Raw genomic sequence first — 14,652 nt, forward strand, 5'->3', positions numbered from 1 at the left:
AAGCACTGGATCACAGCCTGAGAGCGATCAGTGCTGTTTCCCAGTGGCTGTCTATCTTCATGACAAATTCTGACCACCCAACAGCCCATTTGGCTGTGGTGAACGCAGAGGGAAGAAGAGAAATGGCTGAAACCCACTATGCTGACACACAGTCATGCCACAGTCCATTTGTTCATTTGTGCTTACAGTCTGAAGCAAATGGAGTTTAAGGAACTTTCCCCAAGGCTGATTTTCCCTTAATGATAGATTTACTTCTTAACCTATTTGGCTAAATCACACAACTGATTAAACTTTTATTGTGAAAAAGTCAAAACAACTTCACCTCGTGTTGTTATCTGATCAGTCCCTCAGTGACACACCTCAGTGTCACAAAATCACTCTTCTTTGCACACTCTCATCAAGGAAAAAAAGTAATCCCAGGACAGTGTTCTTCTGTCTGAACCAAGCTATTTATCAACAGGAAACTGACCAGATTGTTAGTGCATGAAATGTTTTGCCAACATCTGATCTTAATTTATTTTATTAACTTAGTTCCTAGTTTTCTAAAATTTTGACTAAAACTTAAGAAAGAGGAGTTCTATGGCTTTGTTTTCAGTGGATGTGGAAGTAAGAGATCACTTCTAAGTAAGTATATTCAACTCTAGGTTGCCTTTATTCTCTGAGAAACATAAGAGTAAGGGTTATTTTAAGTAGCAAATTATCAAATAAAATTTTGTGTTTTCCCTAATAATCATATTTTTCTTGTGAAGGTGCTACATTACTTTTTATTCCCTGAGCTTTCAATAACCAACTGTGAAAAAAGGAGTATAAAAATCACATCCTGGGTGGCAAATGAGGGCTTAAAAATTCTTTCAAGGTAATACACATTGATGATCAGTGAACCTCCATGGAATGCTGATTTTTCTAATTATGGTTTATACTTTATAATCAGATTAGTTTTTATAATGAGCATAAAACAAATTTGACAGCCAAAATCAATATGAAAGAACTTTCTATTTAGCTTGAGTATAGAGAAACAGTTGGCTCTTTCAGAAACACATTTCTATTAAAGAAAAATAAATTCACTATCATTTCACATCAGACAGAAAAAGAAAATAAAAAGATTTAATTAAGGCAAATACCCAGGTATTTAGGTAGTCAATTACCCTAACAGGTGGAGTCCCCCAATGGATGCAAACTAGAAGCCAGGACCTACACTAACAAATTAGAATATTGTACAAGTTTCTCAAATATATTTATTACATAACAGGTTATTTTGTTGTTTAAAAGATTGGGATTCAGGTGGCTGGCAAGATGGCTGAATAGGATGAGCTCTGGTCTGCAGCTCCCAGTGAGATCAACGCAGAAGGCAGGTGATTTCTGCATCCAACTGAGGTACCTGGCTCATTTCATTAGGACTGGTTAGACAGTGGGTACAGCCCACGGACGGCAAGCTGAAGCAGGGTGGGACATCGCCTCACCTGGGAAGCACAGGGGGTTGGGAAACTCCCTCCCCTAGCCAAGGGAAGCCATGAGGGACGGTGCCATGAGGGATTGTGCTGTGAGGGACAGTGCATTCTGGCCTAGATGCTATGCTTTTCACACAGTCTTCACAACCCACAGACCAGGAGATTCCCTCGGGTGCCTACACCACCAGAGCCCTGGGTTTCAAGCACAAAATTGGACAGCCATTTGGACAGACACCAAGCTAGCTTCAGGAGCTTTTTTTCATACTCCAGTGGCACCTGGAATGCCAGGGAGACAGAATCGTTCACTCACCTGGAAAGGGGGTTGAAGCCAGGGAGCCAAGTGGTCTGGCTCAGCAAATCCCATCCCCACAGAGCCCAGCAAGCTAAGATCCACCGGCTTGAAATTCTCGCAGCCAGCACAGCAGTCTGAAGTTGACCTGAGACATTTGAGCTTGGTGGGGGCAGGTGCATCCATCATTACCGAGGCTTGAGTAGGTGGTTTTCCTCTCACAGTGTAAACAAAGCCACCAGGAAGTTTGAACTGGGCACAGCCCACCCCAGTTTGGCAAAGCCACTATAGCCGGACTGGCTCTCTAGATTCTTCCTTTCTGGGCAGGGTATCTCCAAAAGAAAGGCAGCAGCCCCAGTCAGGGGCTTATAGATAAAACTCCTGGGACAGAGCAACTGGGGGAAGGGGCGGCTGTGGGTGCAGCTTCGGCAGACTTAAACATTCCTGCCTGCCAGCTCTGAAGAGAGCAGCAGATCTCCCAGCACAGTGCTCGAGCTCTGCTAAGGGACAGACTGTCCTCTCAAGTGAGTCCCTGACCCCCGTGCCTCCTGACTGGGAGACACCTCCCAGCAGGGGTCGACAGACACCTCATACAGGAGAGCTCTGGCTGGCATTTGGCAGGTGCTCCTCCGGGACGAAGCTTCCAGAGGAAGGAACAAGCAGCAATCTTTGCTGTTGTGCAGCCTCAGCTGGTGATACCTGGGAAAACAGGGTCTGGAGTGGACCTCCAGCAAACTCCAGCAGACCTGCAGCAGAGGGGGCTGAGTGATAGAAGGAAAACAAACAAACAGAAAGGAGTAGAATCAACATCAACAAGAAGGATGTCCACACAAAAACCCCATCTGAAGGTCACCAACATCAAAAACCAAAGGTAGATAAATCCCTGAAGATGAGGAAAAACCAGTGCGAACAGGCTGAAAATTCCAAAAACCAGAATGCCTCTTCTCCTCCAAAGGATCATAACTCCTCGCCAGCAACGGAACAAAACTGGATGGAGAATGAGTTTGATGAATTGACAGAAGCAGGCTTCAGAAGGTGGGCAATAACAAAGTCCTCTGAGCTAAAGGAGCATGTTCTAACCCAATGCAAAGAAGCTAAGAACCTTGAAAAAGGGTTAGAGGAATTGCTAACTAGAATAAACAGTTTAGAGAAGAACATAAATGACCTGATGGAGCTGAAAAGCACAGCACAAGAACTTCGTGAAGCATACACAAGTATCAATAGATGAATTGATCAAGCAGAAGAAAGGATATCAGAGATTGAAGATCAACTAAATGAAATAAAATGTGAAGACAAGATTAGAGAAGAAAGAATGAAAAGGAATGAGCAAAGCCTCCAAGAAACATGGAACTATGTAAAAAGACCAAACCCACATTTGATTGGTGTACCTGAAAGTGACAGGGAGAATGGAATCAAGCTGGAAAACACTCTTCAGGATATTATCCAGGAGAAATTCCCCAACCTAGCAACACAGGCCAACATTCAAATTCAGGAAATACAGAGAATGCCACAAAGATACTCCTTGAGAAGAGCAACCCCAAGACACATAATCATCAGATTCACCAAGGTTGAAATGAAGGAAAAAATATTAAGCGCAGCCAGATAGAAAGGTTGGGTTACCCACAAAGGGAAACCCATCAGACTAACAGTGGATCTCTCTGCAGAAACCTTACAAACCAGAAGAGAGTGGGGGCCAAAATTCAACATTCTTAAAGAAAAGAATTTTCAACCCAGAATTTCATATCCAGCCAGACTAAGCTTCATAAGCGAAGGAGAAATAAAATCCTTTACAGACAAGCAAATGCTGAGATATTTTGTCACCACCAGGCCTGCCTTACAGGAGCTCCTGAAGGAAGCTCAAAACATGGAAAGGAACAACTGGTACCAGCCACTGCAAAAACATACCAAATTGTAAAGAACATCAACACTATGAAGAAACTGCATAGACTAATGGGCAAAACAACCAGCTAGCATCAAAATGACAGGATCAAATTCACATATAACAATATTAACTTTAAATGTAAACAGGCTAAATGCCCAAATTAAAAGACACAGACTGGCAAATTGGATAAAGAGTCAAGACCCATCAGTGTGCTGTATTCAGGAGACCCATCTCATGTACAAAGACACAGATAGGCTCAAAATAAAGGGATGGAGGAAGATTTACCAAGCAAATGGAAAGCAAAAAAAGCAGGGGTTGCAATCCTAGTCTCTAATAAAACAGACTTTAAACCAAAAAAGATCAAAAAAGACAAAGAAGGGCATTAAATAATTGTAAAGGGATCAATGCAACAAGAAGAGTTAACTATCCTAAATATATATGCACCCAATATAGAAGCACCCAGATTCATAAAGCAAGTTCGTAGAGACCTACAAAGAGACTTAGACTCCCACACAATAACAGTGGGAAACTTTAACACCCCACTGTCAATATTAGACAGATCAACGAGACAGAAAATTAACAAGGATATTCAGGACTTGAACTCAGCTCTAGATCAAACGAACCTAATAGACAGCTATAGAACTCTCCACCCCAAATCAGCAGAATATACATTCTTCTCAGCACCACGTTGCACTTATTCTAAAATTGACCACATTATTGGAAGTAAAACACTCCTTGGCAAATGCAAAAAATAAACTAGGTATTGATAAAACATATATCAAAATAATAAGAGCTATTTATGACAAACCCACAGCCAATATCATACTGAATGGGCAAAAGCTGGAAGCATTCTCTTTGAAAACTGGCACAAGACAAGGATGCCCTCTCTCACTACTCCTATTCAATATAGTATTGGAAGTTGTGGCCAGGGCAATCAGGCAAGAGAAAGAAATAAAGGATATTCAAATAGGAAGAGAGGAAGTCAAATTGTCTCTGTTTGAAGATTACATTATTGTATATTTAGAAAACCCCATCGTGTCAGCCCCAAATCTCCTTAAGATGATAAGCAACTTCAGCAAAGTCTTAGGATACAAACATCAATGTGCAAAATTCACAAGCATTCCTACACACCAATAATAGACAAACAGAGAGCCAAATCATGAGTGAACTCCCATTCACAATTGCTACAAAGAGAATAAAATACCTAGGAATACAACTTATAAGGGATGTGAAGGACCTCTTCAAGGAGAAACTCAAACCACCACTCAAGAAAATAAGAGAGGACACAAACAAATGGAAAAGCATTCCATGCTCATGGATAGGAAGAATCAGTGTCATGAAAATGTTCATACTGCCCAAAGTAACTTACAGATTCAATGCTATCCCCATCAAACTACCATTGACTTTCTTCACAAAACTAGAAAAAAACTAGTTTAAATTTCATATGGAAGCGAAAAAGAGCCCATATAGCCAAGACAATCCTAAGCAAAAAGAACAAAGCTGGAAAAATCACGCTACCTGACTTCAAACTATAGTACAAGGCTACAGTAACCAAAACAGCAAGGTACTGGTACCAAAACATATATATAGACCAGTGGAACAGAAAAGAGGCCTCAGAAATAATGTCACACATCTACAACCATCTGATCTTTGACAAACCTGACAAAAAAAGCAATGGGGAAAGGATTCCATATTTAATCAATGGTGCTGGGAAAACTGGCTAGCCATATGCAGAAAACTGAAACTGGACCCCTTCCTTAAACCTTATACAAAAATTAACTCAAGATGGATTAAAGACTTAAACATAAGAACTAAAACCATAAAAACCCTAGAAGAAAACCTAGGCAATACCATTCAGGACAGGCATGGGTAAAGACTTCATGACTAAAACACCAAAAGCAATGGCAACAAAAGCCAAAATTGACAAATGGGATCTAATTAAACTAAAGAGCTCCTGCACAGCAAAGGAAACTACCATCAGAGTGAACAGGCAACCTACAGAATGGGAGAAAATGTTTGCAATCTATCCATCTGACAAAGTGCTAATATCCAGAATCTATAAGGAACTTAAATAAATTTACAAGAAAAAATCAAACAACCCCATCAAAAAGTAGGCAAAGGATATGAACAGACACTTCTCAAAAGAAGATGTTTATGCAGCCAACAAATATATGAAAAAAGCTCATCATCACTGGTCATTAGAGAAATGCAAAGCAAAACCATAATGAGATACCATCTCATGCCAGTTAGAATGATGATCATTAAAAAGTCAGGAAACAACAGATGCTGGAGAGGATTTAGAGAAACAGGAACGCTTTTACACGGATGATGGGAATGTAAATTAGTTCAACCATTGTGGAGGACAGTGTGGCGATTCCTCAAGGTTCTAGAACCAGAAATAACTTTTGACCCAGCAATCCCATTACTGTGTGTATACCCAAAGGATTAGAAATTATTCTACTATAAAGACACATGCACACCTATGTTTATTGCAGCACTATTCACAATAACAAAGACTTGGAACCAACCCAAATACCCATCAATGATAGACTGGATAGAGAAAATGTAGCACATATACACCATGGAATACATGCAGCCATAAAAAGCAATGAGTACATGTCCTTTGCAGGGACATGGATGAAGCTGGAAACCATCATTCTCAACAAACTAACACAGGAACAGAAAACCAAACACTGCATATTCTCACTTATAAGTAGGAATTGAACAATGAGAACACATGGACACAGGGAGGGGAACATCACACACTGGGGCCTGTTGCAGAGTGGGGGCCTAGGGGAGGGATAGCATTAGGAGAAATACCTAATGTAGATGATGGGTTGATGGGTGCAGCAAACCACCATGGCACATGTATACCTATGTAACAAACCTGCGCGTTCTGCACATGTATCCCAGACTTTAAAGTATAATAATAATAATAAAAGATTGGGATTGAAGAGGCACATCATTAGGTAATTGTGAAACATAATGTTACTCTCTTAACATCAGCTCAAGCACAAAAGAGGAGGTATAAATTGCACTAGATATGGAGTGTCATACATTTGATTTCTCATCCTAAATTGGTCACCAAAGAGATGTGTGGCCCTAGGCAAATTACTTTACCTCTCTTGGCCCCAGAATCCTCATCTATAAAATGCAAAAGTTGCACCAAATGACTTTTAAAGTCACTTCCAGTTCCATGGGTTTTATACTTAGGGGACAAAGCAGGGAATATAGACTCCCTAAAGCAAAATGTTCAGAGTTTTACAATAGAAACAACCCCAGAATCTCTTCTCTCTTTCCTCTAATTGTGCTCCTTCTTCCCCACACACTTTCCTGCACACCATCAGGAAATAAAGTGAGAAAAAAAGAAAGCCTCCTGTTGCATGCAAAAAACAGATCTGCCAGTGTTGAAGGGTTGGGTTAAGTGGAGCCTTTGCTGGTGATATCAGACTATATTTTAATTAGATGTCAAGTTCTAAGACCATGAAGCTGAAATGATAAAGAGCAGGCTATTAATGGTCCCAATTACAGAGCCCCAAGTATCTCTTAATTTATGTACTGATAATCTCCTGGTAATTTTCTGGATGCTGCCGCAGCGTACACATTCCAGTTCCTCTCCTGCTTCATGTGGATTTGTTCTCCAAGTTCCTTTCTCCATTATGCTCTGCCCAGCTCATTTAGAGCAACCACTTTGCCTCATAGCCAGACCGCCAGCCTCAGCTGGGGCGAGGGGAACCGGCGACAGCTCATCTGCAGCAGAGCCTTTGGTGGAAGTGTGGCCAATTAGTCACACGTTTGGTGTTCTAATTAGGCGAGTCTGGGACTTTGGAAAATGTGCTGTTGATTTAGGTACTTCCTCAAACAATGCTAAATTGTGTTATGTGAAATTCAATTAGTCTTTTTCTAAACGTTTCCACATCTGTTCTTCTTTAAGCATAAAGTGATGAGGAGAGAAAGAGAAGTGAAAAGCCAGAGTCTCCACTGGTGAAATATGTTAGGCCTTAGGGACCAGCCCTTTTCCCAGCTTTTGACCCTGAACAGTGATACACAGGAAGGAACAAAGTTGGAGAGCTATCATGGTGAAGCCCTTTTAAATAAATCATTATAGAAGAAATACTGCAACTGCACGGGAATGTAATCTCGTATGATGGCCATAAACTCAGCTTTGTTTGAAAATAGATGGCATGGAGGAGGAATCATTAAGAAGTGAATGATTATAAATTCTATCTTAAAGGTAATATTTGTGATTATTCTGGTTATATTTTTTAAAAGAGTCTTTTCTAAACAAAAAATCCTTTGGTTTAGTATTTCATGTCCAGGTCTAGTCTAATGAGTTTTTGTCCCCTTCTATCTATTAAAATTTCCATATAAAATTGAGAACAGCATGAAATCCCACAACACTTAGTGACTAAAATAGAAGACAATGAAGATGAAGATGATGAGGAAGAAGTTTCCACTTTCTCTGAAGTGTTTCCTAGTTTCCATTTGTGCCACTGCTGGCAGCTGCACGATGGCATGTTGCTTTGATCCCTCCAGCTCTGTCCCAAGCTGCTCCTACCCTGAGCCTCTCACTCTCCTATTTGCTAAAGATGCTGTGTCATTGCTTCTTAGCACCTCTTAATTCCAACACACTTAACTCCAAGTTCATCATGTGTTTTCATGTTGTATCACACTCGGTATATCCACTGATTTTGCCAAGAGGCCAAATGGCAATATCTTTTACCAAAGTGGCACGGCTCAAAACCGCAGGCGTCCAAAGGTGAAGGTGTACATGCATTTGATCCTTCTTTCTGTTATCACCTTTTCAGTGACTAACATTTCAAAACCTTATCTGTGGCTGGCAGGCCATGTTTCAGTTTTGTCAGAGCCCAGATATAGACTGTGTGGTTTTCTGATGATATATCTCTGTAAGATTTGTGGAATGCTAAAGATGGAGTTGTCAACACTACTTTATGGCACCTCGGTGCATGTCAGAAAATGAAAATATTTTCAGAAGTGTTAGCATTATTTTGACTGATGATATACTCTTTTAAGACAAAGACTTATTTAAATAAAAAAATTCAAGGGAAAAAAACAAACAAAGTAAGGCATTACCCATAAACAAGTTGATTAATCTGGTGTCTGTAGCTCTCATGAAGAAGATAAAGGAAGATTAGAAAATTAAAATAGTGATATTTTAATGCCATTCTGGGTTTGCAGTTTTTATTAACTAAAAAGCACCCTGAATTTGACTACCCTATTGAAATCAGGTTACAATTCCGTGGAATAAAGTTTATAGCAATAAGCGTAAATAAATTACTCCTTTTTACTATGGAAGATAATTATTAAATTAACTAAGTTTTTGATAATATTGTCTAGAATTTGGTTTTACAGGAATATTGATTGGTAATTACAGTCTACTATCTCTCATTGTATTTTTCTTACATAAGGGATTATTTACCAGTATTGCAACCTGTAAAACCATTGTTGAATGGAAATTTTGCTTTAATCTCTCAACTTTTTACCTGCTTCATTTGTGACTTAGAGAAGTTGGATTAATTGTGAGATAACATTAACTCCACAGAGCAACATTATCTGATTTTTAAAAAATCATTATTAATTTTTTTCTTTTCTTTTTTTTTTTGAGACAGAAGTTCTCTCTGTTGCCCAGGCTGGAGTGCAGTGACACGACCTTGCTCACTGCACTCCACCTCCCAGGCTCAAGTGATTCTCTTGCCTGAACTTTCTGAGTAGCTGGGACTACAAAAATTACAGGGCACGTGCCACCACACTCTGCTAATTTTTGAATTTTTAGTAGAGATGGGGTTTCACCATGTTGGCCAGGTTGGTCTCGAACTCCTGACCTCAGGTTATCTGTCCTCCTCGTACTTCCAAAGTGTTGGGATTGCAGGCGTGAGCCACGGCACCTGGCCTAATTTTTCTTTCCACTGGGTAACTTTAATCTGAGTATCGATTTTTTTAAAAAAAGGGCATTTAAGCCATTAGCTTTAAGCCAAAGAAACAAGCCTTGTCTTTTGCTACTTAAAAGCTTAATCTGATCATTCATCATAGCTAATTCCTGTTCTTAGAAAACATGCCCACCTGGCTGTTCTGAATGAAACTAGCTCAAGTCATTTTGCTTCCTATTGGCAATACCAGGGCCATTGCTTAATGAAAAAAAAAAAAAAGGGCGTCAGATTCACACCTGTATTCTGTGATCATATGTACTATGATTAGTACATTTGTAGTTATCACAAGCACAGATTCAAAATCACTCTTTCTTCTAAAATGCCAGTCTTGGGGAACAGCATCACTAATTTTTATTTTTAATTTTTGTGGGTACATGGTAGATATATATGTTTATGGATTACATGAGATACATTAATACAGGCATGCAATATGTAATAATCACATCAGGGTAAATAGGGTATTACCTCAAGCATTTATCCTTTGTGTTTCAAATAATACAATTATACTCTTTTAGTTATTTTTAAACAAACAATTAAATTACTTTTTACTATAGTCACCTTGTTGTGCTAGCAAATACTAGGTCTTATTTGTTCTTCCTATTTTTTTGTGCCCTTTTTCCATCCTCCCCCTTCCCAGGCCCACCCTTGGCTATCCTACCCTGCCTCTGGTAACTATCATTCTACTCTCTATCTCCATGAGTTCAATTGTTTAATTTGTAGCTCCTACAGATAAGTGAGAATATATGAAGTTTGTTTTTCTGTACCTGGCTTATTTCGCTTAATATAATGACCCCCAGTTCCATCCATGTTGTTGAAAATGACAGAGTATGGTTCTTTTTATGGCTGCATAGTACTCTATTCTGTGAGTGTACCACATTTTCTTTATCCGTTTGTCTGTTGATGGACACTTAGATTGCTTCCAGAGTTTGGCTATTGTGAATAGTGCTACAATAAACACGGGAGTGCAGATATCCCTTAGATATACTGATTTCCTTACTTTTGGGTATATACCTAGAAGTGGAATGGCTGAATCATATGTTAGCTCTATTTTTAGTTTTTTGAGGAACCTCCCACCTGTTCTCCTTAGTGATTGTACTAATTTACATCCCCACCAAGAGTGTATGAGGGTTCTCTTTTTTCCACATTTTTGCCCACATGGGAAGCATCATTTTAATGTTTGTACTAATGTCATCTACCAGAGAGACCAAATGTGTAAAATAGTTCTCCCTGCGTTATTAACTCAAACCAGAATTAAACTCCACATAATGGTGGCGTGTTGCTGGGGAGAGAAGGAAAGCAGACCTGCAAAGGTTGCCACCTGCAGGCTGTCCCTGGTCTTTGAAGGGCAGTGCCTGGTCAGCAGAGGAGCATCCCTGCCTCCTTATTTCCACAGAGTGACAATCAGAGTCAGTTTTCTTTTTTCTTTTTTTCCCTTAACTTTTAATTTCCGGGGTACATGTGTAGGATGTGCAGGTTCGTTACATAGGTAAATGTGTGACATGGTGGTTTGTTGCACAGATCATGCCATCACCTAGGTATGTGCCCACTATCCATTAGCCATTCTTCCTGATGCTCTCCCTCCCCCTACAACCCCTCTGCCCCCATGCTTTCTTCCTGCTTTATTTGCTTGTTTTGGAGAATGAACTCCATGAAGGCAGGAATTGCTTTTCATACATTTGTTTCCGTGTGAAATAATTTGCTTGACACATTTCTCTATTGATTTGGCTTGATTAATGATCTTAAGTGCCACCTAGTTTGTACCATAGCATAACGGCCAAACATTTTTATATCTCCAGTTACTAGAGCCACATCAGAATTGAATCCCAGACCCCAACACTCCCAGTTTCTTTTGTCGTCTGTCAATAGGCTGGTGTTACCAATGATTTTCTTGACTATTTACACTTGGGGTTCAGGATAGGTGGGATGTTATAGAAGGACTGACCTGCCTAGACACAGAGAGGAGTCAAGTAACAAAATTAAAGAATAGCATTGGGTATAAAAAGTGTATTGATTGATTAAGACAAAATGATACATCCAGAAAGAGCTAAAACATAAACAAAAGTTAAATAATAAAATTAAACTTAAGATGAGAAGTCACACAGCACAGAATTAAGTGCTAAACTATGAGAAATTGGTAAGATGTAAACAAATGGAGAAGATTAAGGACTACATTTCTGAACATTTCTGGTAGACAGACTGGAGTGAGCTAAGGCAAGAAGGAGGGTGGTTGTCCTCTTATTTAACTGGTTTCCCAGTCTCAGTCTCCTGGTTCTTCTTTCTCTCCTTGACTTCTAAAGGCTGAATCTTCAGATCTCTTCTCTTCGGTACTTTATATATCCTGATATCCTAGGTGATGCCATGCAGGTCCACTGATTTAAATGTCATTTATATACCGAAAGTCCCTAATTTTTCCTGCCAACCCAGAATACCCCCCTGACTTGGATACCCAATTCCATTTATTTATTTATTTATTTGGAGGTTGGGTCTTGCTCTGTCATCCAGGCTGGAGTGCACTGGTGTGATCATGGCCAATTGCTTATTTAACATCTTTCTTTGTGCGTCTAATAGCATCTCAAAGCTATACAATATATATACTAAACTGAACTTTTGATTTCCTACCTCCCACCTCTAAAAATTACTCCCCAGATCATTTAATAGAAATTCCATTCTTTCAGTTGCTCAGATAAAAGAATCTTAAAGTTGTGCCTATCTTCTCTTTTTCTCCCTTATCCTGCATTGAACGTGCCTATCTTCTCTTTTTCTCCCTTATCCTGCATTGAACCCATCAACAATCCTGCCCTCTCCTCTTTCAAAATATATCCAGAATCTGACCACTTCTCATCTCCCCGACTGCCACCATCCTGAGCCACCACCATTGCTTTTTGTTGGGATTATTACAATCACCTCGTAATTGGTTCCTTTACTTTTACCCTCAAACCTCTTATAGGGTACTCTCACACTGAACCAGAAGATCATTTTAGAATGAACATCAGGATGTGTTCTCTTTTTTTACTCAAATCCTCACATGGCTTTCTATCTCCTTCATCAGAGCAGCCTAGATCCTTACCATGGCCTCATTGGTCCCACCTGAGCTTACATCCCCCCCATTGTTTCTTCACTCATCTTCTATCACTTCATTCTTGTTACTCTGCCCCAGCTGCTCACACTGGCCTCCTTGCTCCCCTCGAATACAATGAGCACATTCCTACTGCAAGGCCTCAGCATGTGCTGTTGCATCAGCCTGGAAAACTCCACACCTGTCTGCCCACATGGCCTGCAACCTCACTTTCTTCTGGTCTCTGGTGTTTTGTTTTGTTTTGTTTTTGTTTTTGTTTTTTTTTTGAGACGGAATCTCGCTCTGTGGCCCAGGCGGGAGTGCAGTGGCGCAATCTCGGCTCACTGCAAGCTCCGCCTCCCGGGTTCACGCCATTCTCCTGCCTCAGCCTCCCGAGTAGCTGGGACTACAGGCGCCCGCCATCACGCCCGGCTAATTTTTTTGTATTTTTTTAGTAGAGACGGGGTTTCACCGTGTTAGCCAGGATGGTCTCGATCTCCTGACCTCGTGATCCGCCCGCCTCGGCCTCCCAAAGTGCTGGGATTACAAGCGTGAGCCACCGCGCCCGGCCTGTTTTTGTTTTGACAGAGTTTTGCTCTTGTTGCCGAGGCTGGAGTGCAGTGGCGTGAACTCGGCTCACTGCAACCTCCATGTTAAAGCAATTCTCCTGCCTCAGCCTCTCGAATAGCTGGGATTACAGGTGCCCGGTATCACGCCTGGCAAATTTTTTGTACTTTTAGTAGAGACGGGGTTTCGCCATGTTGGTCAGGCTGGTCTCGAACGCCTGACCTCAGGTGATCCACTTGCCTTAGCCTCCCAAAGTGCTGGGATTATAGGCGTGAGCCACCGTGCCCAACTTCTTCTGGTCTCTGTTGAAGTGTCACCTCCTCGGGAACTTACCGGACTCTCCTATGGAAGACACCACTCGGGTCTCTAGGTCTCTCAGTGATTTATTTATCATATAGCCCTTACCACCACCTGCCCCATTAAATATTTCTTTGCTTGTTTAATGTCTGCTTCTCTCCACTAGAGTATACACTCCTTAAGGTCATGAACTTCATTTATGTTGTTCAGAGCTGTACTTCTCAGTGCCCGGAATGATGCCTGAACCATAATAGGTGCTTAATAAATGCCTGCTGAATGAATGAATGAACAATGATGATGAATAGACTGCTTTTCAGGTAGGTAAAATAATTTGCACTGGGAAGTACTGGGATATGATGTTGGAAAGTCAGAATGAATGTAAATTGTGGTAAAAATTTATTAAAGGGAAGAGTATAGATTTTATTGTGTAAGTCACGTGTAACCATTAAAACTTCTTGAGTGGACCATTGCATGATGAATATCAAATTTTGGGATGAGCAATCTGGGAAACATTATAGGGTAGATTTTGAAGCTGATTGGAGATTTCTTAGTAATCCAGGCTTTAGGCCCCATGTCATAAATGCAGGCCTTAGAAGAAACTAACTATACGTTGAAATGTACCTATCATTTCAAAGACTCACACTTTTTAAAGTGGAATAAGAATGTCTAAGTCATTGGTATCATGTTAAGGCCCAGTCTGTAGGTTTGGACAGCACCTACTTGAACACAGATACCCAGAGTGAGATAAGAAAAAAAAAAATTAGCTATTGAGAGGGGATAGTTTCCTCAGTGTTTGACACAGCTGCCTGCTAGAAACAAGAGTCCATTTTCCAGTTTCCTTCTGACCAATTACTTTAGACCAGTTGGATGGCATTTCTTACCTGTGCTCAGCAGAATGGCCAGACGTTTCTGGAATAAAAAGTATGATCCTCAAGAGGAGAGGAGTAGAATGGGTGAGCAGTGATGAAAACTTGCCAGGGAATGTTTTCACCAGGTTGACCTCTCCATTGAAAGGGCAGTCAAGAGAGCTATGACTAAGAGGTCCAGCAGTCCTTGAGCAAAAAGGTAAAGAGAGGGAAATATAGCCCTGGGGACTCCCTGTGCCTTTCCTCTGGAGTTTCCATGTTTTACTTAAGTGGCTGGGTTTATCCTTATAAGGTGCTCCC

The sequence above is a fragment of the Homo sapiens genome, chromosome 6 (assembly GCF_000001405.40).
Source record: "Homo sapiens chromosome 6, GRCh38.p14 Primary Assembly".
In the NCBI taxonomy this organism is placed as follows: Eukaryota; Metazoa; Chordata; class Mammalia; order Primates; family Hominidae; genus Homo; species Homo sapiens.